A 26737-nucleotide genomic window follows, 5' to 3' on the forward strand; every position below is an offset into this window, starting at 1 on the left:
TCTGCCACCCCAAGGCCGTGTTCATGCATATATCTATACGAGATTCCCTGAAAGTGTGTATGTTTCAGGCCCACTGGGCTCTGCCTCTTGGTGACTCCACTCCAGGTTTCAGTTTGGTTGGCCCCTTGACGGTCTAGATCCCTAACCCCCAGATCCACCAGAGCTACTGAGAAACTGGGGCAAGCCTCCACAGAGACAAGCGACTTGGGGTATGTGTGGGTATATGGGTGTGGATGAGAGAGTGAGCGAGCGAAGGAGTTCAGCAGTATAGATGCCAGTAGCACCTACCCTTCCAGTTGTGACAACCTAAAGTGTCCCAAACATTGTCAAATGTCATATATCTGGCGAGGAGAGCCGGGAGTTGTTCCTGGTTGAGAACCACTGATTTAGAGATTGTAGCTTTCCTTTTCCATTGCTGCTTATGGGTTAAGCCTCACGTCTTTTCCAGAGGGGTTGTATTGTGACTTGTACAGCCTCTTCCCGGAGATTTCTACCCACCAAATTGAAAGGGTCACAGGCCGACTCCGGGGGTGAAGAGCCTGGGTTCAACCGAGGAAAGGGCCAGGGGCCTCCTTTCCTCCTGTGGCCTCGGCTGCAGCCTGCGAGCTGGGGAGAAAGTAGCTGCTGGCCTGGCCGGGGGTGCTGCGCTCTGCTCCCAGTTTCTCTCTTCCAACAGTTAGAACATGAAAGCTGGAAGCGATCCTAGAGGGTGTCTAGTTCAACACCTGCCCCTTCCCTTAAAGAAGTGTTTACGATGAGAACACTGACATTCAGAGCCCTGAAGCGTGTCTTCCAGGGCTGCGTAGCTTTTATGAGGTAGAAGACCAGGCCCAGGTGTCCTGACTTCCAGCCTAGAGCTTTTACTGCTCCATGGGCAGCCTCTCTGAGTCCCCTATTAAAATGCAGTCCCCCTGGAGGGCACACACCATAAACTAGATGAGTGGCTGCCTAATAAATGACCCTGAAACTTAGTGGCTTGAAACAAAAATAAATAGTCTCTCAGTTTCTCTGGGTCAGGAATTTGGGAGCAGCTTGGCTGGGCAGTTCTGCCTCAGAGTCTCTCATAACTTTCAGTGAGATGTTGGTCAGGGCTTTTGAGTATAGACTTTGGTCAAGAATCTTCTCTTGGCCGGGCACTATGGTTCACACCTGTAATCCCAGCACTTTGGGAGGCCATGGTAGGAGGATCACTTGAGGCCAGGAATTTGAGGCTAGCCTGGGCAACTTGGTGAGACCCTGTCTCTACAAAAAGTACAAAAATAAGCCGAGTGGGGTGGCATGTGCCTGTGGTCCCAGGTACTTGGAAGACTTGGGTGGGAGGATTGCTTGAGCCCAGGAGGCCAAGGCTGTAGTGAGCCATGATGGCACCACTGCAACTTCAGCTTGGGTGACAGAGTGAGACCCTGTCTCAAAACAAAACAAAAACCCACAAAAATCTTCCACAAAAATCTTCTCTAAGCCTCAATTTTCTCATCTGTAAAATGGAGATAATAACAGAAGTTATTTCATAGGCTGTTATGAGGATTAAAAAAATAATTCTTTTGTGGCAGAGATTTTCAATTTCTTACTCTAATATCACTTCCTCTTTCTTCCTTTGTAATAGAAGCTCCAATATTTAGCTGGAAAGTTGGCTGCCTGGAATAAAAGTCTCCATTTTTCATCTTTTTTTGTTTTTCCAACCAGTTCTGTCTGAAGACATGTATAGAAGTGGTATATGGCACCTTTCAGGGAACTTTCTTTAAAAAACAGTATCTCCATTTGCTCCTTTTATTTGTTGCCCTCCTCTACTCTGCTTCCTGGAACGTGGATGTGATGGCTGGAGCTCTGGTTGCCAACTTGGGACACAAGGATGAGCATCATACCCCTGGGATGATGGAGTGATGGACAGGAAGGAGTTTGGGTTCCAGAAAGTTCTGTGCAATTGTCATACCAATCTTGCACTGCCTAGGTGATAGAGAAATAAAATTAAACTTGTTTTTTTCGGCCGGGCGCAGTGTCTCGTGCCTGTAATCCCAGCACTTTGGGAGGCCGAGGTGGGTGGATCACTGGAGGTCAGGAGTTGGAGGCCAGCCTGGCTAACATGGCAAAACCCCATCTCTACTAAAAATACAGAAATATTAGCCGGGTGTAGTAACACACGCCTTTAATCCCAGCTACTTCGGAGGCTGAGGCGGGAGAATCACTTGAACCCAGGAGGTGGAGGCTGCAGTGAGCTGCACTCCAGCCTGGGAGACAGAGCAAGCCACCATCTCAAAAAAAAAAAAAAAAAAAAATTCCCCTCTTGTGTTTTAAAAAATCGCCCTCAAACATTCTGCTATCCAAGAGAAATAAACTTTTATCTTGGCCAAACAGGTATTTTGTGCTTTCTGGTTCATGCAACTGAACTGAACATCCTATATGCTTACACTGTTAGCAAATGCCTGGTAGTCAGGAGGTGCTCAGTACCCTGGTAAACATTTTGATTTCAAAGCTGGGGTCAAACCAGCCAACCAAATCTCATAACCTGGATGTGGGGAGAGTAAAGGGGACAGCCAGGACAGTGGAGAAAGAGCTCTGGGGTCAGGAGACCTGGGTCACAGTTGCAGCTCTCCTCTCTCCACCTCAATTTAATTTTAATTTTATTTATTTATTTATTTTTGAGATAGAGTCACACTCTGTCACCCAGGTTGGAGTGCAGTGGTGCAATTATGACTCACTATAGCCTTAACCTCCCAGACTCAGGTGATATTCCAGCCTCAGCCTCCTGAATAGCTGGGACTGTAGGCATAGGCTACCACACCCAGCAATTTTTAAAATTTTTTTGTAAAAACAGGGTCTCATCGTGTTGTCCAGGTTGATCTCAAACTCCTGGGTTCAAGCCATCCTCCTGCCTCGGCTTCCCAAAGTGCTGGGATTACAGATGTAAGCCACCATGTCCAGCCTCCATTTTATTTTCTTTAATTGAAAGGGGCTAGAATAGCTCAGGAGTTTTCCAACTTTTTATGGCAGTAGGAATTGTTCTTCAAATGGAAACCAATATATAAAAAAGATTTAAGTAGAACTTTGGATCTATCTAATCCTTTTGGTTCCATCCCCCAGACTGCCTTGGGGTGATCCTCAAGGCTTTAAAAGGAGCATAATTTGAAAAACACAGAACAGACTGATTCTCCAAATTCTTTCCAGGAGCAACAGTCTATGACTTTAAGGGGCTGAGCTGAGCCGGAAAACATGGTCAGGTTTTCTAGAATGGCCATAATCTGGGGTAAGGGTGGTGTCAAGCTGCTTCGAGGTCCTGGGTTCCCATGAGGCCTCTGGCTCTAAGTGTGCTGACAAACCTGTGGCTTCATCGCACAGTGAAGAAAAGCACATTAATTCATAGTCAGGTGGCCTCAGGAGTCTTCTTTTTTGTAGATCTAGGCTATATATCACATTGCATTAGCCAGAGGTCAGTAGACATCATCAAAAACAACAGGAACATGGGAAATTTCATTTTGCTGGTGCTGCAGGATTGAAAATGTCAGCTCTCTCTGGCTACCTGGTGAAGGAATTATGCCATGGCTCAAGAGATGGGGATGAAAACCTTAGCTCATCATTTGAAAATTGTGCATTACAGACTTTGCTGTGAAATATAAGCATTGCTGTAAAATGCAAACATCTCTGTCCCATTGTCATGGTCACTGTTCATCGTTGAGGTCAATAATAGTGTAATCACTGGGTTATGTGAGGACGGGATGAGGTAATACATGAACATTCAGTGACAGGTTATTGACTGTTTCTTCTTTAAAGACCAAGAGTTGGGTTTTAGTATTTTTCTTACTAAGTTGCAAGAACTTTTGGTAAGGAAGTGAGCCTTTTGAATACAGTATTTACTGCAAAATTTTCCCAGTTTCTTGTTTTTAAATTCTGGTTGTTATTATTATTGGTATTTAACACACAGATGTTGAAAGTTTTAAGTAGTCAAAACTGTTGACCTTTTCCTTAAGAACAGCAATTATCCAGGTGTGTGCCAGCCATCCAGGCATGAATGCCTCTGAAGTCCTTTTCAAGCATTGGCTTATTGAGTCCTCATAACAAGCCGAGGTAGGTACTACCACTGTGCCCATTTTATGATCAAGGCAGTGGCCCTGGGTACATTCCCCACCTAGCACATCCCCCGATGCCACATGCCCATTGGTCACAGAGGCTGAAAGATACCAATATCCTTTAAGGAGAGGCAGCAAATGAACATGCAAACGGGGACAGGCCTTGGGGCGAGGTGGGGACACAGAATCTCAGTGCTAGCCTCTGTAAAGTTTGAAACAGCCTTGCAGGGACTTCTGGTAAGCCAAACAGGGTGTGACATTCTGAGAACCACAGATAAGTTCTTTTACTTTCTTATACCCCATGGCCAGAAAAAACAGATAAGTTCTGAGGCCTACCTAGTCTGGAAGAAAAATAGGAAAGAAGTATTAACCAGAGCATTTCTTGATTCCAGATTCTCACTGCCTCAGCCTGGAGACCAGGATGGCACCCCCAAGTCCTTTCAAAGTCACCTGCAATGGAAACTCTCTTGCTTTTAGTTTTTCCCAGGACAGTCAGCCAACCAACCACTGGGTCTGGCAGGTTGTGCTGTGGAATAGAGGCTGGAGCCCTGATTTGAGCTTGCAGAGGACTGGTCCTGCCATGTAACAGCTTTGTGAGTTTGGGCACATGAAATTGCTTTGTAAACTACAAAGGGCTGTGTGTAAAAGCCTAAGGTGCCATGAATATCAGACTGGTGACAAGTGACCACCTTCCTGATGTAGATACTGAGGAGCATTTTTTTTTCTTTTTTACCATGCTTTCATCTGCAGCATTGTTTGATGACTGCCCCAAACCCTCCAAGTCAAGTGAATACTTCTGAGCAGGCTGTAAAATCCATCATTGGGCCACTTTTCTTCTTCCAAACTGTACACAACCCACACTGAATACCTGCTTCCCTCTAGGCCTGGGCACTTCTGTTCCCTTTGCCCAGCATACCTTTGTCCCTCCCCACATTTTCAACACTTGTACTTCTATTTTTCCCTTAGGACTTCATTCGTGTATCACCTCCTCCAGGAAGCATTCCCTGATAACACCCTGGCCACATCCCTGGAGGCTGGTTTATATGCCCTTCCTCTGTTTCCATAGTGACTTCTATTTTCTACTTACCATGAGGCACATCACACTGTATCTGTCTTTACCACTGGATACGTCTTGTTTATTCTTCTATTTGCAACGTTCTAGAATCCCTGAATATTTGACAACGTATGCTTTCCCTCTACCATATGGCATGAGTGAGACCAGGGTTGGAACAATGGTGCGTGCCTGTACAGTGGTATGATTTAAGCTACTTGCTTGGCCTCTCTGTGTTTGCATAAATGGAAGATGAGACTAATGATAACTGAGACTTAATATGGTAGCTGTGAGGACTATGAGAATCCACTGAGAGCGGAGTGAACCGTGCTTGGTACAGAATAGTGGTAGGATTATGGAATTCAAAACGAGGCAGCTGTTGTTGTCATCAGTGTATGGCTGGCCTGGATCCATGATACTGATGTGACACCATTATTTATATTGTGGGTCAGATTCCTCCATTCTTGTGGGTAAGTTCCATGAGGGAAGGTCTTTGTTCAGCTTACAGCTGTATCTCTGTAGCTTAGAATAGTGCCTGGAACATAACGGGCAGTTGGTAAATGCTGGTTGAATGAGTGAATGAATGAGGTACCAAGAGACCCCATGGGATGATTAATCTTGATGGCCAGTCCAGTGTCCCCTGGCGTCCAAGACTTCTTTTATGCCTTATAATCTGGCTAGTGTGTGTCTCCAAAGAGCCTTCATTTAGCCCAAACCAGAGGTTCCCAAACATTTTTACCAACTGTCTTCTTTATCATAAGTTTGAGGAAAAAGTTATTTCTCTTGAAGAGAAAGCAAGAAGGAAGAGAACGCCCTGTTTTAACCTCCAGTGCCAAACGCAGCCTGAAACACACACGCCCACACAGCTCCTGTTCTTGGGAGAGAGGCACGGTAAAGTGGCATCTGGAAAAAAAACCCAGTTCAAGCCAAATTTGTGTCAATCCCTTCTCTGTCAGCCTGTGCTTCCAAGCACGGTATACCAAGATGACAGTTCCACCCAGCTTTCTGCTTTTTCTTCTTTCCAAAGAGAACTTTGATTAAAAAGAATCTTAAGATGCCTGGAAAGAAATTTCTAGCCTACAGACCAGCATTGTCTATGATAACTTTCTGTGATGACGAAAATGCTCTGTAATGTGTGCTGCCACTAGTTACTTGTGGCTGTTGAGCACTTCAGGCTGGTGTGCCTGAAGAGCTGAGTTTTCAATGTAATTTTAATTAATTTAATTTAGATAGCCACATATGATTAACGGCTACGGAGCTGGGTGGACGGGACAGTGATGTGTGGCTGAGCGGAGAGGGCTGCAAAGGGGGTCTCAGATAGGGGTCTGACCCTGGAAGTCTTCTCTTGGCCCTTTCTGGGGGACTGGAATCAAGAAAAGGCCAAGAGCCTCTCAGTGCTTTTTAACATAGGTGCCCCTTGATCAGCTTAGAATAAGAAATGAGGTCACATTCCTTTTAATGTTCAAACCACATGACTTATGATAAGGGCGTCATGAGCCCTGATCATGCCTCACTTTCTTCTCTCACCGAGGGGGATCTCCCTCCTGGAAAAATCTCACACACTCCCTCCCTGGGGACTTCCTTGGTCCTGGGGCGGGCAGTGTCATTACTCTCATCACCAGGAGAGAAAATCAGGAATTCTCGTTCTCGGCTGCTACTGCCGCCTTGGTCACTAGGTGTCACCAGTGGTCCTGCAGCCCACCAAAAGGAAGGCGGCCACACCAGTTGGCAGGTCTGGGGACAAACCTGGAGGCTGCGGTGGAGGGAGAAGTTGGCTTCCTGAGGGGGTGAAACTGACACTCACAACCGTACTAGATGCACCAGATCAAGTGTCGTGGTGTGGGGGAACGTGGGCGATAGGGTTCTGGGACATTTGCCGTGTGACTGTGACCCGTGTGACCCGTTTTGGTCGTCTAAGGGAATAGTTTCTGCCTACATCCTGCTGAAAGAAGTGGCTTTTGGAATGCCTGCCCTCTTTCTCAATGGACCCCAGCAGGCAGCCCCCTTATGAAAGGGAATTGTTTGATGTCAGTGCTCATCCCAGAGCCTGAGTGCTTAATATTCCCCGTGGTCACCCACTTTTGAGGGAAAGTGGCTTCAAAGCAGGAGTGGTGACAGACCTGGCTCCTGGTCCCCACACTGCTGACCACTTCTGGTGTGACTCAACCTTCCATTCCCACCCCCAACTCCCGCCCAGCACCTGTACCAGAGAGAAAATAAGACCTGCTACACATTTTGGTAACTTTTTGCTCTTGACAGTAAAATAAGATTTTACTTTCCTGACAGCTCAGAGTATAGTAGGGGCTTAAATACTTGCTAGCTGACTGAATACTAGTTAGAGGGTTATTAATGTAGGTAGGGGAGAACTGCACTTTCTTTCCAAGTGAGATTCAATAATACGTATCTTGCCCCCAACTTCCTGGAGTCGGAAAGAGTATGGTTTCATTATAGCCTGGCCTCCAATCAGCTGTGTAATTGGGTATGTCACTTAATCCTTCTGAGCCTCAGTCTCCTCATATACAAAATTAGGGCGAAATCTAACTTTCAGATGGGGTGATGGTTAGTTTTATGTGTCAAATTGGCTGGATGATGGGGTTTCCAGATATTTGGTCAAACATTATTCTGATGTTTCTGTGAGGTAAGAGCATTTCTGGATGAGATTAAGGTTTAAATTAGTTAATATATATATTTTTTGAGATGGAGTTTCACTGTTTTTGCCCAGGCTGGAGTGCAATGGCATGATCTCGGCTCACTGCAATCTCTGCCTCCCAGGTTCCAGCCATTCTCATCCCCCTGAGTAGCTGGGATTATAGGCGCCTGCCATCATGCCCAGCCAATTTTTGTATTTTTAGTAGAGACAGGGTTTCACCATGTTGGCCAGGCTGGTCTTGAACTCCTGACCTCAGGTGATCCACCTGCCTCAGCCTCCGAAAGTGCTGGGGATATAGGGGTTAGCCACTGTACCTGGCCATGGATTTTTTTTTTTTTTTGAGACAGGGTCTCAATCTATTGCCCAGGCTGGAGTGCAATATGGTGATCATAGCTTGCTGCAGCCTTGAACTCCTGGGCTCAAGCAATCCTCCCACCTCGGCCTCCCAAGTAGTGGAGATTACAGGTGCATGCCACCGTGCCTGGCTAACTTTTTTATTTTGTTTTTTTTTTAGAGTTGGGGTCTTGCTATGTTTCCCAGGCTGGTCTTGAGCTCCTGACCCCAAGTGATCCTCCTGCCTTGACCTCCCAAAGTGCTGGGATTACAGGTGTGGGCTACCATGCCCAAATTGGTAGACTTTAAGTAAAGTAGGCTCCCTCCATAATGTGGGTAGGTCTCATCCAATCAGTGGAAGGCCAAAATAGAACAAAAGAAACTTTCTCCTACTTCTCTAGCAGATGGCTTCAGACTACATCTGCAACATCACCTCTTCCTGGTTCTACAGCAGATGGCCTTCAGGCTCAAACTGGAATATCAGTGACTGGCTGGGTCTCCAGTCTACTGGCCTTGACTGGAACTGCAGCATAGACTCTTCTGGGTCTCTAGGCTGCCAGCCCACTCCACAGATTTTGGACTTGCCCATTCTCCATAATTGTGTGAGCCAATTCCTTCTAATGAATCTCATCTATTCTTTTCTTTTCTTTTCTTTTCTTTTCTTTTCTTTTCTTTTCTTTTCTTTTCTTTTCTTTTCTTTTCTTTTCTTTTCTTTTCTTTTCTTTTCTTTTCTTTCTTTCCTCCCTCCCTTCCTTCCTCCCTTTCTCCCTTCCTCCCTTCCCTTCCTGTCTGTTTTGCTCTTGTTGCCCAGGCTGGAGTGCAATGGCATGATCTCATCTCACTGCAACCTCTGCCTCCTGGGTTCAAGTGATTCTCCTGCCTCAGCCTCCTGAGTAGCTGGGATTACGGGTGCTCACCACCATGCCCAGCCAATTTTTTTTTGTATTTTTGGTAGAGACAGGGCTTCACCATGTTTGCCAGGCTGGTCTTGAACTCCTGACCTCAGGTGATCCACCTGCCTTGGCCTCCCAAAGAGCTGCGATGACAGGCATGAGCCACTGTGCCCGGCCAGTAAATCTCTTTCTATATAGTCTCACGTTCTGTTGGTTCTGTTTCTCTGGAAAACCCTAATGCCGATGGCTATGGGGATTAACTAAAATTATAGTGTAAAAGCATCTGGTACAGTATCCAACCAGTACCAAAGTATCTAGTAGATGCCCAATAAGAGCTACTTTGCAACCCAGCTTCCCAGTTTTCTTGGTCAATTATTAAATAGATTCCTCAGGACAGGAAGAATACTTCCCCTAGACCTGGAAATCCGTCGGCTAGTCTGCCAATGTTTGTCACTTTCAGTGGACCGCCGGGCTCTGTCCCATTTTGTGATGCAAACATTTCCCAGGGTGCCTCTCTCCCTCACCTGGCTCTAGTCTCCTAGGTCTCAGAACAAGAAGGCATGTGCCTTTCTTTGTTCCCTGTTCACTAATTGCTTCTGGGTGGGTAAGAGTGGGAAGAAGAAGATAATTCCCTCCTCCTCCTCCTTATCAATAGTCTCCATTAAGCCACACATAGATGTGGTATCTGAAAGGTGAGAGGGTGGGTTCATTATGCTTCTTCAGACACATAAGACCTCTTTTCAACTGAGTGCTTCTTACCAATTGATGGCAATCAGTAGAATTATTTTTAGCATATCTGAAACCTTTCTTTCTCCTAGTACACTTTTTTTTTTTTTAACAGAAATGCATTGTCTTGAAGTTCTGGAGGACAGAAGTTCAAGATCAAGGTGTCAGCAGGCTTGGTTCCTTCTGAGGGCTGTGAGGAAGAATCTGTTCTATGCCTCCTTCCTGACAGCAGGTGGTTTCCTGGCAATCATTGGTGTTCCTTGGGCCATAGAAACATTACCCTGATCTCTGCCTTTATTTTCATATGGTGTTCTTCTTGGGTGCGTATCTGTATCCAAATTTCCCCCTTTTGAAAGGACACCAGTCATATTGGATTAGGGGTTCATCCTATTGTGGTATGACCACAGGTTAACTAATTACATCTGTAATGATCCTATTTCCAAATAAAGTCACATTCTGAAGTACAGGGGGTTAGGACGTAGCATATAAGTTGTAAGGAACCCAATGCAACCCCTAACAGGTGCTATTTTAGAATTCTCTTCAAGTGGTTAGTTCTTGAATCTTTCTGACATAATCCTAGTTATCTTCAGTAGCTTTATTGTTATTAGGTAAAACAATGGGTTCCAGGCTCATCTTGCACATTTCTGTTCCAGGCTCTTCTTGCCCAGACCTGGACTCAGCCATTCCTCCAAGAAGCCCTGTTTGTGTTTATTTTTATAGTTTGGTGAGAAATTGTATTTCAAGACCATAATCTGGGCTCTAGGGTTGCTCACTGCTACCAGGTTGGCTCTTGTTTCTAGCTCTTTTCAGTGGACAGGTTTGAAAGTCATGTGAGGGGCTAAGAGTTTCTCTCTGTAAATGGTTCTTAATACACAAAGTTCGTTAGCCCTTGCTGACCTTAAAAATTTCCCAGAATTGGCGGGGCATGATGGCTGATGCCTGTAATCCCAGCACTTTGGGAGGCTGAGATGAGTGGATCACCTGAGGTCAGGAGGTCGAGACCAGGCTGGCCAATATGGCGAAACACCCTCTCTACTAAAAATCCCAAAAATTAGCCGGGTATGGTGGTGGGTGCCTGTAATCCCAGCTATTTAGGAGGCTGAGGCAGGAGGATCACTTGAATCTGGGAGGGGGAGGTTGCAGTGAGCTGAGATTGCACCACTGTACTCCAGCCTGAGTGACAGAGCGAGACCCTGTCTAAAAAGTAAAAAATAAAAAATAAAAAATAGTTTCCCAGAATTGTTCTCCACAGGAAAGGGTGTCAGCTTTGCTGTCTGAGCCAAACTCTGGTTGAGTTGACAATGTTCTACTGACCTAAATCCTCCCATTGAAGCTTTCGTTACAAATAGCACAATTTCTTCACCTCTGCTCCCCGTGGCCACATGGCTGCCACACAGGGCTCAAGTAGAGGCTGTCTCCCATTTTCAGGGGGTGAAGTTGTCCCTGGTGACAGCTCGAATGCCCCCGAGTCTGTTTATCACCTGTTCATGTACCCCTGGCCCACTGTGTGCTGCCTACTCTGGCCCTGCCACGCTGTTCCCCCTCCCCTTCAGTGCTCCCCCAGCTCCTCTCCAGTTCCCACAGCCTGCAAGAGCCACAGTCCATCTCAGTCTTCTTGGATTACTTAGGCCTTCATGTGTCTCAGTTCCCAAATCTGTGAAATGGAAGGAATCGTACCCACCTCATCAAGCTGGAAACTTAAATGAGTAACTACCTAGTATAAGGCTTAGCCCAGACAGGCCTCATCAATTTTAGCTTTTATTTTTTATTTTATTTTATTTTTTTTTGAGGTAGAGTCTTGCTCTGTCACCCAGGCTGGAGTGCAGTGGCGTGATCTCAGCTCACTGCAACTTCTGCCTCCCGGGTTCCAGCGATTCTCCTGCCTCAGCCTCCCAAGTAGCTGGAACTGTAGGTGTGTGCCACCACGTCCAGGTAATTTTTTATTATTAGTAGAGATGGGGTTTTACCGTGTTGGCTAGGCTGGTCTCGATCTCCCGACCTCAGGTGATCCACCTGCTTCAGCCTCCCGAAGTGCTGGGATTACAGGCATGAGCCGCCGCGCTTGTAATTACATGCGTGAGCCACCGCGCCTGGCCTGAGTTTTTATTTTTACTCTAGCCCAATAGTGCTCCATTCTAGCTGCATATTAGAAATACCTGGGGAGGTTTTCAAAGAAAATAGTGATGCTTAGTCCCTACCCTAGGAGATTCTGACTGAATTGGCTGGGCACTTCTTCCTTCATTCCTAAGTGACAGTGGTGCAAGGCGGTCGTGAGCGTGAGCACTCCCCTCAATGTTTGGGAGTGGTGAAGGGTGGTTAGGGTTTACCCCAGAATATTAGACATCTCTTTTCCCCACTACGGGAATTCCTCACAGTCCATCTTTCCCCTTAGGTGAGACCCTTCTCCGCGCTTTCCTTTGTTCTTGTTCCAAGTTCTGTTGGCCACTCTCAGTTGGCAGACAAATTACTATCACGTTCTCATTCAGAGATAGTTTATTTGCTTGCAGTGTTTTCCTTCCCCACCATTTCCAGGGCATCTCCACCTTTCATACAGAAAATGGCCCATCGAAGTATTTTCCTAAACTAAAGAGAAGTCTTCTTCTTGTCTCTGATGATTTTTTTTTTTTTTTTTTTGAGATGGAGTCTCACTCTTGTTGCCCAGGCTGGAGTGCAATGGCAGGATCTTGGCTCACCATAAGCTCTGCCTCCTGGGTGCAAGCGATTCTCCTGCCTCAGCCTCCTGAGTAGCTGGGATTACAGGCATGTGCCACCACGCCAGGCTAATTTTGTATTTTTAGTAGAGATGGGGTTTCTCCATGATGGTCAGGCTGGTCTCAAACTCCTGACCTCAGGTGATCCGCCCGCCTCGGCCTCCCACAGTGCTGGGATTACAAGCGTCAGCCACCGTGCCCGGCCTCTGAAGATGTTTTATGACAATAACCACAGTCCTTTTTTTGTATGCTTTTAATTTTAGAAATTAACGTAATTTATATAGGTGCAGACAATTCACAATTACAAAGATATCAAACCAACCTAAGTGCCCATCAACTGAGGAGTGGGTAAAGAAAATGTGGTATATATACACCATGGAATACTACTCAGCCATTAAAAGAACAATATAATGTCTTTTGCAGCAACATGAATGGAGCTGGAAGCCATTACTCTAAGTGAAATAACTCAGGAATGGAAAAACCAAATACCATATGTTCTCACTTACAAGGGGGAGCTAAGCTATGTGGACACAAGGGCAAACAGAGTGTTATATTGGACACTGGAGACTCAGGGGAAGGAACCGGGAGAGGGCTGTGGGTTAAAAAGTACATACTGGGTACAACGTACACTACTCGGGTGAGGAGTGCTGAAGTCTCAGGTTTCAGTGCACCAGTCACTTGAGGAGTGTACGTTGTACCCAACATGTAGATGAATTCTACACAATTCATCATGTAACAAAAAAACATTAGTACCCTGGTATTCCTAAAGTATAGAAAAAAAGGATAAAATAAATAAATAAATAAATAAATAAATGGGTGCAGAATTATAAACCATATGAATGTACCTTAATTTTAAAATTTCCTTTTGCTGAACATTTAACATTTCTAATTTTTTGATATTATAATTACTGTAATAATGAACACCTCTATGTACACATTTGTACTCACATATCTGATTTTTTTCCAGTGTGTTGAATCGTGGAAGTTAACTTTCTGGATTAAAGATTATGTGTATTGTTACGGCTTTTGAAATATATTGTTGCCAAATTGCCCTCCAGAAAAGTTGTACTGATTTACAGTTTTATCCTCTGTCATGGTATATCTTTCTTTGTGTATTTTTTCAACATTTTGCACATTTTTACAAATTGTAAAATATATCACACATACAAAAGTTTATGTGACATATACATACATTTTAAAAGACTAAACAAAAATAAAAAACCACTGTGTTCTCATATCTCAGCTGTAATGAACTAAAACATTACCAATATCTTTGAACCTGTCCAAGGGGTGACTGCCTCCTTCTGGTTTGTCCAGAACTGTCCTGGTTTTAGCACTGAACGTCGCAGGTCCTAGTTAACCATTTAGTCTCAGCCTGGACAGCTGATCACCGTACCCCTATGTGCTTCTCTCCAAATCTACCTCCTCCCTCCTCCAAGGGTATCCTGTATGGACTTCTAAATAATGTACTCTGAGGTTTTTACTACATAAATGGAATCACATGATATGTTCCTTTTGTGAGTTGCTTCCAGCCAGCATTGTTTTTGAGCTTCATCCTATTGATATCTATAGCCGCAGTTCATATAGTTTTTCTGCTGACTGCCATCCATTTGATGAATACATCACCGTTTCTCCATCTTCTGTCAATAAACATTGCAGCTTTTGTTGCTGTGAGCTGCACAGCTCTGAACAGTCTTATCTGTCTCCTGGAGCAAAGGTCCAAGAGTTTCTCTAGGTTATTTTCCTAAGTGTTAAATTGCTAGAGGACTTACATAACCTCATCAGAAGTGCCAAATTGTTTTCTAAAGAAGTTGTGCCTATTTCCATCCACTAGCAATGCATGAAAATAGCTGTTTTCCACACCCTCATGAAGCAGTGTCTGACTTTGAAACTTTAGCCATTGTGGTTGCTATGAAATGGTATTTCATTGTGGGTTTAATTTACATCTTACTGATTACCAGTGAGATTGAACCTCTTTTCAGAGGTCGATTGGCAATTTCTGTTTCCTCTTCTGTGAAAGGCCTGCCTGCATTGTTTGCTCATTTTTCTATTGGGCCAGTTGTCTTTTTCTTACAGATTTGTGGGCCCACTATTTTTTGTTTTTATCAAGGTAAAATCAGGTTAAATTGGCTTTCAGAATCAGTCTGAAGGGATGAAAATCCAAAGGACTACACCTATTTAAGGGATGGACATATCAAAAGACAGAATGAAAATGCTTGTTACACAGTCCCTTCAGTCTTCTTTATCTGCAGATGGCTAATATTTTATGCTTTAAGAAATAAAACCAACTAACATTATCTTCTGCTCCAGTGGTTCTCAGCAGCATCCACATCATCTGTAGACTCATTAAAATGAAAATTACTTGGCCCCACCAACAGCCTACTGAATTGGGAACTCTGAAAAGAAGACCCTGCAATCTGCTTCAACATCCCTGCAGTGATTTGGATGCATGCCAAGTTTGGGAGCCACTGTTCTACATTGTCTCCTTGTCCCACCTGGTGGATGGAGAACTGACCATGACCTACCATTCTACAGGTCATCATCATCCTTCCACCTACAAATAGACATTAGAAAGTGTTTTTTAAGAAAAGGACAGATATTTGGGGCCCCAAGAATGGGATTTTTGGTGGCCCAGCTCAGATTGCAGGGTATTCAGTTTATGGACTACTTATCCTGTCAACACTCTAATGTCAAAACTTGGACCTAACCAGACCATTCTCTCTGCCCGAAGGAGGCATTAAAAAGAAAAAGGCAAAAAGATGGGACGTCCTGCCTGCGTGGGGAGATGTTTTCAGGGATGATGTCCATGTTGTTTTCTTCGGGTGTGTGGGTTGAGATAATTTCTCTGCTTTTGGTCCAGGAGAGCGTTCCTTGTCCTCTCCCACTCTGGCGAGGCTGGGGCAGCTTCCTCTGAGGCTGTTCCCCAGTCAGGCACCACTGAGCCGGTGCCAGTAATGAGCAGTGACCAGAAGTCTGCTATTTGCTCCAGGGCCTGTGTCTTCAGCACTTAGGTTGCCCTTCTCTGGATTCCTTCTCTTTGAAACCACCCAGGATAGCTGCATCTCAGGTGACTCTCATGGCTCACTGAGGGGCAGAGTCAGCCACAATCTTTATTTTGTTTTATTATTATTTTTTTGAGACAAGATCTTGCTCTGTCACTCAGGCTAGAGTGCAGTGGTTTGATCATGGTTCACGTGGCCTTGAACTCCTGGGCTCAAGCAATCCTCCTGCCTTAGCCTCCCCAGTAGCTGGGACTATAGGAGTGTGCCACCACACCAGGCCAATTACTTTTATGTTTTTACATTTTTTGGTAGAGACAGGGTCTCACTCTGTCACCCAGGCTGGAGTGCAGTGGCATAATCAAACCTCACTGCAGCTTCAAACTCTTGGGCTCAAGACATCCTCCCACCTCCGCCTCCCAACTGGCTGGGACTACAGTTACATAGCACCATGCCTGGCTATTTTTTTTTTTTTTTTTTTTTAGAGACGAGCATCTCGCTATGTTGCCCAGGCTGGTCTTGAACTCCTGCGCTCAAGTGATCCTCCTGCTTTACCCTCCCAAAATTCTGGGATTACAGGTATGAGCCACTGCGCCCAGCCCACACTGTATTTTAAAGAGTCTTGATTGTGCCTGGTTAGCATCACTTCTAATACAGCTACATGAGTCTGTCTGGCTGCCAAGCTGAGAAACTCCTTGGATTTGCAGGAAAGTGACTTCAAGCATGCTGGCTGATGAGGAGGTCTTCCTCATCTGTGCACATGGAGGTGGGGTGGAGGGATTGAGTGGTGCTTATGGAGATGTGAAAGTCAGGAACTGCTTTGACACCTATTCTCAGCACTTTCTGGAGTCTCTTTTGAAACTTAAAATGACCCCTTTCTCTTAACTGTTTCCTGCACACACAGCAGCTCTCAACCTCAGCAGCCTTTCGTGTACCTCCCCCATGTCTCCAACTAGTTGGACCAGGAATTTACCCTGACCCAAGTTAGGCCTCTCGGCAACCCTGCCCCAGGAGTCTGGACTGAGACAGCTGGCCTGGGTCAGCGTGGCAGCCTGCGTCAGTGGCCGTGTTTCTTGTCCTGTGGACTGGAGCAGTGGAGGGTATGTGGGATCTGTAGAGTGAGAAAAAACGAACAGCTGTCGGAGGAGCAGGGAGTCTTGACAACTTTCCAGTTCCTTCCTGAAGTCCAGCTCTATAATTATATTTTGGGTCCTGTGTGGAGAGATACTCCTGCACCATTTGAATACATTTCTGAAGATGCTAGATCAAACTGTATTCTGTTACTTAAAACCAAAAGAGGCCTAATGCACACAGGAGTAATCTCTAAGAAAAACTGTTGGGTAGAGTTAGATCTTATGAAGCGCTGGAACTGCACAGCGGCTTCCCCAGCACACCCCCTTTCTCCCCTGGAGGCTGCATCCACTGTGCTGAGTGGCCACGCCGTTTAATGCTGTGCCCATCAGCAGAGGGACCCAGCTACCACTCGATTTAGTAATGCATTTCCTTTCCTTACCACAGTAGCCCAACACATTTGAGGAAAAAGAATCATGAAAATTTTGTCTTTTCCACTCCCCCGAACCCCCGCCTTTGAAATCACCACCACAGCTGCTAACAGAAGCGTCTTTATGTAGAATGTGTTTTGCCCTTTTGGAGAAGACAAAGAATTATTAAAAGAGCAGACAGCTGCTTGTACTGGCAAGAGAATGAGAAGAGCTTGTCAGCACTCACTCTTCTACCCTTCCTCAGCTGAATCACCACCGTCTTCCTCTTTACCTCATTTTGCTCTCTCTTTGCCTGGTCCAGGAGCATAGAGGCCATCACCCTACCCTTTTGCCTCCAACTCTGGGAAAACAGAACAGTCTAATCTCTCTTTCTCTGGTTAAACCTGCATAAGTCTCAACTCTAATACTTTAAGCAAGTCTGACAGTTGATAAACTTCACCTTGACTCATAATCATCCTGTCAATCTCTCTCTTTAACAAACATACAGATCACTCAATGTTCCAAGATTCATGTAAAAAGAAGTCTTTTGTTTTAATCACTGAGAACTTCCGGAGAAAAGAAGAAAGGTGAGTATGAAAGTTTCTGGTTATTTTCCTGTATCTCTGGGAAAATCCATGGCAGCTTTGTATGCTGAATTTGCTAGTTACTAAATTGTGTGATTTTTTTTTTTGAGACAGGGTCTTGCTTTGTCACCCAGGCTGGAGTGCAATGGTACGATCGTGGCTCACGGCAGCCTCAACATCTCAAGCTTAAGTGATCCTCCTGCCTCAGCCTCCCAAAGTGCTGGGATTATAGGCATGAGCCACCACACCCAGCCTGAAGTATGTGATCTTGGGCAAGTTATTTAATGTTTTTTAAGATTCCCTTTCTTCACTTGCAAACTGGGATAAAGATAATGTCTATCTCATGGGAATGTTGTGAAGATTAAATGAGATAGGACAATGGGTCTCAAACTTGGCTGTACATTAGAATCACCATAGGAGTCTCGAAAGTCCAACTGCCAGGGAGCACCCAGACCAGTTAAAGCAAAATTTCTGGGTGTGGGAGCCAGCCATTAATATTTTTGAAATCTCTGTAGATAGTTCCAATGTTCAGCTATATATGAGAGACAGTGAGATGATACTAATAATAAGCACTCAATGAGTAATTGCAGCTTTTATTAATATAATTAAAAATTGAGTGAGAGTTTCCCAAATTTAATAGACTGCTGAAATTGAGGGCTTACAGGGACCCAGATTCATTTTTTCTTAAATTCATCTATCCAACAATGACTGAGCATTTACTATGTGCTAGGATCTGTGCCAGACTCCCCCTCTCCAGTTGATAGTAAAAATATCATATTGCCTTCAAGATGAAACTCAGGTTCTTTAGGATGACCTGTCCTCCCCATCCCTTCACACCCTATTGGCTGTCAGTGCTATGGCCCACATGCTGGTAAGTTCCAGCCGCTCTAAACTACAGGGTCATTTCAGGCCCTCCTGTCCCTGTGCCTGTCCTCATGCTCTTCCCTGTGTGTAAGATGTCCTTCCAACACATCTCCCCTGCCTTTCCACCTGGCCTCTCTCATAGGATAGAATTCCTGATATGGAACCTGAAGAAAAGATGGGTGCCACTATGATTTGAATGTATCCCCCAAGTTTCATGTGTTGGAAACTTAATTTCCAAAGTCATATGTCAATGGCATTTGGAGATGGGGCGTTTGGGGGGTAATTAGGGTTAGAGAAGGTCATCAGGGTGGGACTCCCATGATGGGACTGTTGGCTTTATAAGAAGATGAAGAGAGACCTGAGCTGGCACCTTCTTGCCCTCTCGCCATGTGATGGCCTCTGCCACATTATAATGCAGTAAGAAGACCTTCACCAGATGCAGCCCCTTGACCTTGGACTTCCCAGCCTCCAGAACTGTAAGAAATACATTTCTTTTCTTTATAAATTACCCAGTCTGTGGTATTTTGTTCTAGCAACAGAAAATGAACTAAGACAGATGCCCAGCACTGCCTGGCAGTCTCCACCCATCCTCTCAGATGAATGAGCTGGCCACTGTCCTATCAGTCTCAAGATTCTTTGAGCATCCTGCAGTGGGTGCATGATTAGTTCTCAGGGTCTTCTTTCTGTAGAAGGGCTGGGCAACTCTCTCTTTCTGTTTTCTGTCAGGCCTCACTCTGGTGGAAGACTGCTCATGCTCAGGCAGGCTTCCTTTCCTTTATCTTGCTTACCAGGCTCTAGTGTTCCAGGATCCTGTGGAGCTATTCCCCAGGGCCCCTCAAAGGGAGAGAACCCTTCCTCTTGAACCATTCACAGGAGCAGGGCAGCTCAGAGCCATTACTTGGAACAGCCGGAGAAGCTGGAGGCTGGATCTCCTGTGGCCACCACATGAAATCCCATGAGGTTGGCAGCCTTGGGGGAATAACATGACTTTATGACCATGGATAATCCCTGAAGACTGTTCTGCTATCTCCAGAGGAGAAAGACCTCCAACAGCTCTGCACTGCAGCCACCTAATGGGTGAGGGGCTGTGATGGCTGCCACAGCTGTGGCAAATTCTGCTGAAGTAAAGACTTCCATTAGGAATCTTCTCACCCCTTCCTGGCTTTGAGCTGACCTCCAGAGTGGCCCTGCTGAGAAAGTTCTAGTCCTTTCTCTCCATCTCCAGCTCTGTCAGGAGGTGCCCCCAGTGTATAGATTTGCATGTCCTCTTACTGAACCTTCAGAGCTCTTTCTGTAGGGGCTGGCTAGGAAGATCTTACTCAATGTTCCCAGTACACACCCACAATTCCACCCACCCGTAATTCTGGCACTTCCAACCCCAGGCCTGTGCCACTGGGTGAAGTCATCAACTTTTCAGGCAGGCACAGGGTGATGCCTTCCTTCTGGCTTGGTGAGGGCATCCATCCTTCAAGATTCATATTCTATCATTGGCATTGGGGAAGGGGAAAGGAACTACTATTTGAATTGTTACATGTTATCTCACTTAAACTTTTGAAAAAAAATGTAGTGGATAATTAGCCCCGTCTTTCAAAAAAGGAAAGAGATGCTTCCCAAGATGACATGGTTGGAAGACCAGTTAGATCTTGCTGTGTTGCAAACAGTCCCCAAATTAGTGGCTTAAAACAACAACCAGTTATTTAGCTCACAGTTTTAGAGATTGTCTGGCTGTCAGCTGGATTGTTAGGAGTAGGGCACAACTGGCCACATGATTGCTCTCATGCTCCTACAGGCTAGCCTGGGCTTGTTCACATGGCAGATTGGTAGGATTCCAAGAGGAAGAGTGGACAGGTGCAAGGCCTCCTGATGCCTAGGCTTGGAACTGGCACTGCACCACGTCTACCATAATCTGTTGGCCAAAGCAAGTCATGAGGCCTGCCCAGATGCAAGGGTAGGTGAAATAGACTCCACCACTAGATGGAAAGACCTGCAAAGTCATATTGCAAAGGGGAGCACGGAGAGATAGGGGTGAGAATTGGGTCTACTTTTGCAATCAACCACAGTTGTTAAGTGGCAGAAGTAGGATTTTATTTTTCAATGATGAAAATAGCATATACACATGAGAAAAATTCAAATGGTACACAAAAGGGAAAATGAGGATGAGAAAGTCTCATTTTTACTCTTGGGATAGGAAAACACATTCTAAGTCCTACTCTCCACATGTAAACACCATTAAGGGTTTTGTGTGTATTTTGATACAATTATTTTGTACATATACATAAATGGGGGTCCAATATATCCACGATGCTATAGCTCACTATTTTCACTTAACAATATAGCTAAGAGCTCTTTCCATAGCAGCACAAACAGAATTACTCCATTCCTTTAAATATCTATATAGCAGTCGACTGAATAAAGGTACCATGTTTTATGCAACTACTTTCCCTACTGGTGGACACATAGGTTGTTTCCAGTTTTTGTTGTGACAAACAATGCCAGAGTGAACAACCTCTAATGTTCTCTGTATACTTGTAGATTAGATTACTAGAAGTGGAATTTCTAGGTCCAACATCATATTCAATCCTTGATCTGATCCGTTCTCAGAGCGTATGCTCTTTCCAAGAGGGGTCTCTGGTTAACAAGTGTTTGTCTAGCTTTTTCTTCTTATTTATTTATTTTTTTTCAGACAGAGTCTTGCTCTTGTCACCCAGGCTGGAGTGCAGTGGCACGATCTCAGCTCACTGCAACCTCCGCCTCCTGGGTTCAAGCGATTCTACTGCCTCAGCACCCCAAGTAGCTGGGATTACAGGTATCCGCCACCACACCTGGCTAATTTTTTAATTTTTAGTAGAGACGGGGTTTCACCATGTTGGCCAGGCTGATCTTGAACTCCTGACCTCAGGTGATCCACCCGCCTCGGCCTCCCAAAGCGCTGGGATTACAGGTGTGAGCCACCGTGCCCGGCCAAAAAAATTTTTTTTTTCGAGATGGCTATGTTTCCCAGGCTAGTCTTGAACTTCCAAGATCAAGCAATCCTCCTGCCTCAGCCTCCCAAGTAGCTGATATTACAGATGCAAGCCACTGTGCCTGGCTCCTGGAAGCTACGTTAGAAAATTCAACATAGCCATGGACCACTGTGCCTATATGCACACATGTGACACATGCGTATGATCTCTCCAGACCTCTTCCTTCTTGGGCAGGTTTGGGAGTCTAGAGCCATGCATTATTAAACCCTTCCAAGAAGATCCAGATTAGTTGTCTTTTCTACTTCTTGCTTTATGAATATTTTTTTGAGATACGTACTACTTTATTACGGGCCAATGAGAAAAGAATCCTAGTAACAAATATTAACATACAGACGATGGGTTGCATCCAAGTGAAGCCCTAATGTATAAATGAGCAAGGATTTCATAAGCTGTGCAAATAGAGATAAGCATAGGAGAATTAAATGAATCATCACACAGCAAATAATAGTATAGGCCTATTGTCACATTGAGGAATTCTATTACATGAATTCCATCTTTGTACACAGCAACTTTAACAGTTCATGAACATTAAGTACAGTAGCAAATATGCAGTGAAGAAATTTCTTACAACTGTATTATTATTATTTTTTTTGTCCAGGCATGGTAGCTCATGCCTGTAATCCCAGCATTTTGGGAGGCCTAGGCGGAAGGATTCCTTGAGCCCAGGAGTTTCAGACCAGCCTGGGCGACATAGGGAGACCCCATCTCTATAAAAAAAGAATTAGCCAGGCTTGGTCGTGCATGCCTGTGGTTCCAGCTACTTGGTGGGCTGAGGTGGGAGAATCGGTTGAGTCTGAGACGTCAGCTGCGATGAGCCATGATCATGCCACTGCACTCCAGCCTAGGTGACAGACCCTGTCTCAGAAACAACAACAAAAACATATTTTTAAATCTTTAATATTATTTTTGCAGTTCTTCATGGATCTGATGCCTACATGCTATCTGCCTGGGTGCCACTGGAGCTCTGAATTTTACATACCAGGTTATGTATGGACTTAGCTCTATTATGAACAGCAGGTTGGTGACATCAGAATCTGGAGGTGGCATGCAAGCACACCCAGATACCTCACTCTGTTTCTCACAGCCCTCACTTATGTCCCTGAGTAGATGAAGCCAATAATTCTGCAGAAGGGAACAAACAGCAGGAGGCCCATTTCTGTGATATGAGGATCCTGCACTTAGGGCTGTTCAGCGGATAGGTTACAAGGGTAGAGTTCCAGATAATGCAGTTTCATAAAAGTAATTACTTAATGGTTTGAGTTCTTTATAGAAGTATAGGCATGTGCCTCAGACTTCAAAGCAGGAAGTACCCAGTCTCCCATCTGTTTCTTAATAACGCAGATACTGCTGTTGTGAAAAAGGCAGAGTTCTGGAATATTCCCACTGTTATAGCTCAAGGAAAAATGTATTTTCCTATGGTACACTGAAGAAGGATGAACTCAAAGGCTAATCATTGACTAGTCACATTAAAGTGTTCATTTCTTCTTAGTGCCCCTTTCAGACAGAAGTGCCTTGGATGAAAGTTAAGAGACCTGGGGCCTGATTCTTCAGCCCGAGCCAGTGAGCAGGACACAGAGAAGCACTTGTGCCCTCATCAGAAGAGTTTCATGCTGAATGAGCTCCGAGGAGTGCTAGAGGAATTACCCTGTGATTGCCCACCAGCTTCCCCTTGTTCTGGGATCTGAGAGGAGGCAAGATAAGCCTCCCTGTAAAATCCTCACACCTGCTTAGAGTCTGCCCCATGCTGGCTATGCTGCCACTTTGCCCATCTTTCCCCCACACTAGACAACATTAATCCATGATGATAGCTATTCCAGCAGAGCCAGAATCTGGTTTCAGAGTCTTTTTCAAGATAGCTCTGTAGGCAGCCACTTTGGATCATCCAGTCAGCATGAGAGAGGAGACTTGTTTGCAGTCCTGCTTCTGAGTGAATTTGTCTAAAAGCAATTCTAAAATCAATGTCCAGAGAATAGGGTTAAGAGGACATTGGGGAGGGGAAGGGCAGAGTCAGGGCTACTGGAGAACATAGCTATTACTTAGGTGGGGCTGCCCCATGGCAGCCCAGGTATAATATGCCAGCCTTCAGATAGGCCTGGTGATCTCTTCCCATTGTATTTCCCCACTGTGTGTGTGTGTGTGTGTGTGTGTGTGTGTGTGTGACTGTGTATCCAAGACCCAAGATAACTGGCTGGAGCTGTGGGTTCAGCCTGCAACCATGGAGCAAGAGGGATCCCCCTGATGGAGATCAAACTGATGTCCTTGATTGCCCTAGTGTGGTTTTCAACCAGCTAAGCTAGCTTGTGACCAGCAGAGAAAAATAAGGGCTCATTGTTCAAAGTGTGGTCCGTGGCCAGCTTGTTGGCCTCCCTTGGGAATGTGTTAGAAATGCAGAATTTCAAGCCTCATTCCAGAGCTACTGAAACAGTGATTTAGAGGCCAGGTGCGGTGGCTCACACCTGTAATTCCAGCACTTTGGGAGGCTGAGGTAGGAGGATTGCTTGAGGGCAGGAAAATGAGACCAGCCTGGGCAACATTTCAAGATCCCATCTCTTAAAAAAAAATAGCCAGGCATGGTGGTTGATATGGTTAGGCTTTATGTCCCCACCTAAATCTCATCTTGAATTATAATCCCCATAATCCCCACATGTCAAGGGAGAGAGCAGGTGGAGGTAATTGAATCATGAAGGCAGTTTCCCCCATGCTGTTCTCGTGCTAGTGAGTGAGTGCTCACAAGATCTGATGGTTTTATAAGGGGCTCTTCCCCCTTTGCTTGGCGTTTCTCCTTCCTGCCACCTTGTGAAGGTGGGTGCTTTGCTTTCCTCTTTGCCTTCCACCACGATTGTAAGTTTCCTGAGGCCTTCCCAGCCACGCTGAACAGTGAGTCAATTAAACCTCTTTCCTTTATAAATTACTCAGTCTTGGGCAGTTCTTCATAGCGGTATGAAAACGGACTAATACAGCGGTGCATGTCTGTAGTCTTAGCTGCTGGGGAAGCTGAGGTGGGAGGATCGCTTGAGCCTAAGAGATTGAGGCTGCAGTGAGCTCTGATTGCACTGCTGTACTCCAACCTGGGTGACGGAGCGAGATCCTGTCTCTTAAAAAAGAGATTCAAAATTGAAATCATTTTAACAAACCATGCAGGTGATTAATATGCACATGAAAGTTTGAGAAGTACTGGCTTAGAAAAGTCACCATGTAGCACAGTAACTTCAAACTGATTAGAATTTTAAGGGTCTACTATGTGCCCAGAAATGTGCTGGACTTTGGTAGATACCAGTGAAGTATGTGACAGGCTCTGTCTCTGAAAGTAGCTTGGTGAGTGTAAAGGCACCATGCAGAGCACAGACTGGAAAGAGAACCCTGTTTTTGTGCTGCTTTTTATTTTCCTTTTTCCTCTGCTGTTAATTATTTTATCCTTATAGTGATGACAAAAAAATTCCTTTAACTCTTATGTTGCCCTGCATTGCATAGGCCCTAATACCCAACTTTCAGAATTTCTCTCAATTCTCTTGGTGGCTTTGGAGGCTTGTCTCAGTCCTTTCACTCCTCATCCTCACCATCTGTTTCTCCACCACCTTTCTGCGGGCCCCAGGTTTGGACCAAGGCCTTGCTTTTGCAGAGCACACTGATAGGGCATTTTTCCACCTCAGCTATTGCTGATTTGCTTATTCTATTGAAAACGGCTCAGAATCTTAGGCAATTCATAAGGCTTGGAGTGGAATTGCAGAGTGGAACCTGCTTACTGATAAGAAGAGACAGTCTTATTCAATAGATCCTTAATTGGCGGGGCGGGGGTCCTTCACCTGTTCTGAGATCTATTAAACAGCTCCTTGGGCTGGGTTTCCCGTCTATGAGCGTGCTGAATGGCCAAGGCACAGATGCCAACTACATTCACTAGATGACATACACTATTATCTGTCTTCTCCATCTTCGGCAGGTTTGCCACTCTAGACTACCATCTCGGGAGACTGCACTGCACTGCCCAGCACCAAGTAATGCAAGATCAGTTATTCCTACTACGTTCATTGCTATGGGTCAGTTTCAATGGTGTAACTGTCTGATATGTCCTCTCAACATACAGAACAGCGATTAGGAGAAGCAAGACAGGGTGTCTCTAAAGTCTGTCAAGTGGGTAAAAGATGGCTGCTGAAGTGGGTTCCATTTGCCTTCTCTGTCCTCTTTCAGGCCATTAGCTTGTGGTATGGGGCACCTCACACTGCCATCCCTGGCTTCTGCCAACTGCCAACATTCAGGAAGGCAGGCTTCTTTAAATCTGAGTCTGTGGATTAATTGCATTTTCTTAGACACTGTTAAGAATCTGTCAGCATTTCCATTAAGAAAAGATTAATAAGATGACAAATTGCTAGCTCTGTCAATGCTCTTTTGTGTTTTTTTCCCCCTGAGGATTATTTTGGGTGAAGATTTCCACTCTTGAGGCATTGTTACACAAAACTATATGATCCTCCACTCTGCAATAGAATAGTCACTAACCCCATGTGACTACTTTAAAGTAATTTAAAATAAATGAAAGATTTAGTTTCTCAGTTACACCACATCTGCAACCTTCCTTTATTCCTTTCTTCTCCTTTGTGTGTGTGTGGTTTTTTTGTTTTTTGTTTTTTTTTTGAGACAGGATCTTGCTCTGTCACTCAGGCTGGAGTACAGTGGTATCATAGCTCAGTGCAGCTTCAAACTCCTATGCTCAGGTGATCCTCCTGCCTCAGCCTCCTGAGTAATCGGGACTACAGGTAGGCACCACCATACCTGGTGAATTTAAATTTTTTTTTTTTTTTTTTTTTTTTTTTTTAGATAGGGTCTCACTGTCACTCTGTCAACCAGTCTGGAGTGCAGTGTTGTGATTTCGGCTCACTATAACCTCCGTCTCCCAGGCTCAAGCGATCCTCCCACCTCAGCCTCTCCAGTAGTTGGACTATGGGCATGCACCACCATGCCCAGCTAATGTAATTTTTTTTTTTTTTGGTATCTTGTAGAGATAGGTTTTCACCATGTTGCCCAGGCTGGTCTTGAACAACTGAGCTCAAGAGATCCGCCCATCTTGGCCTCCCAAAGTGCTGGGATTATAAGCATGAGACACCACACCTGGCCAATTTTTTTTTTTTTTTTTTGTTTCAAGTTTTCACAGTGTTGCCCAGGCTGGTCTCAAATCCCTGGCCTCAAGCAATTCTCTCACCTCAGTCTCCCAAACTGTTGGAATTACAGGTGTGAGCCACAGCACCTGGTCACCTGCAACATTTCAAGTGTTCAATAGTCACGAGTGGCTAGTGGCTACAGACAAAGGACATTTCTATCACAGTTCTTTTAGACAGTGCTAAGAGTGGCCCAGTAGAATTTAGAAGAAAG

The 26737-nt window shown here is 45.0% G+C and overlaps 1 long non-coding RNA gene across 3 annotated transcripts in view; it reads left to right on the plus strand.

The window, feature by feature from the left end:
* Positions 4898-26737, plus strand: part of LOC105375988 (uncharacterized) — a 93057-nt gene continuing 71217 nt past the window's right edge. The window contains exons 1-4 of one of the 3 annotated variants that reach the window (XR_007061431.1): positions 4898-5296; positions 17414-17492; positions 17604-17747; positions 22289-22358. This is a non-coding gene — a long non-coding RNA (uncharacterized LOC105375988). Of the gene's footprint in view, positions 5297-17150; positions 17493-17603; positions 17748-22288; positions 22359-26737 lie in introns of those variants that run through there. The other 2 variants (XR_007061430.1, XR_929510.4) reach the window with 2 other exon arrangements.

This window comes from Homo sapiens, chromosome 9, assembly GCF_000001405.40.
Source record: "Homo sapiens chromosome 9, GRCh38.p14 Primary Assembly".
NCBI lineage: Eukaryota > Metazoa > Chordata > Mammalia > Primates > Hominidae > Homo > Homo sapiens.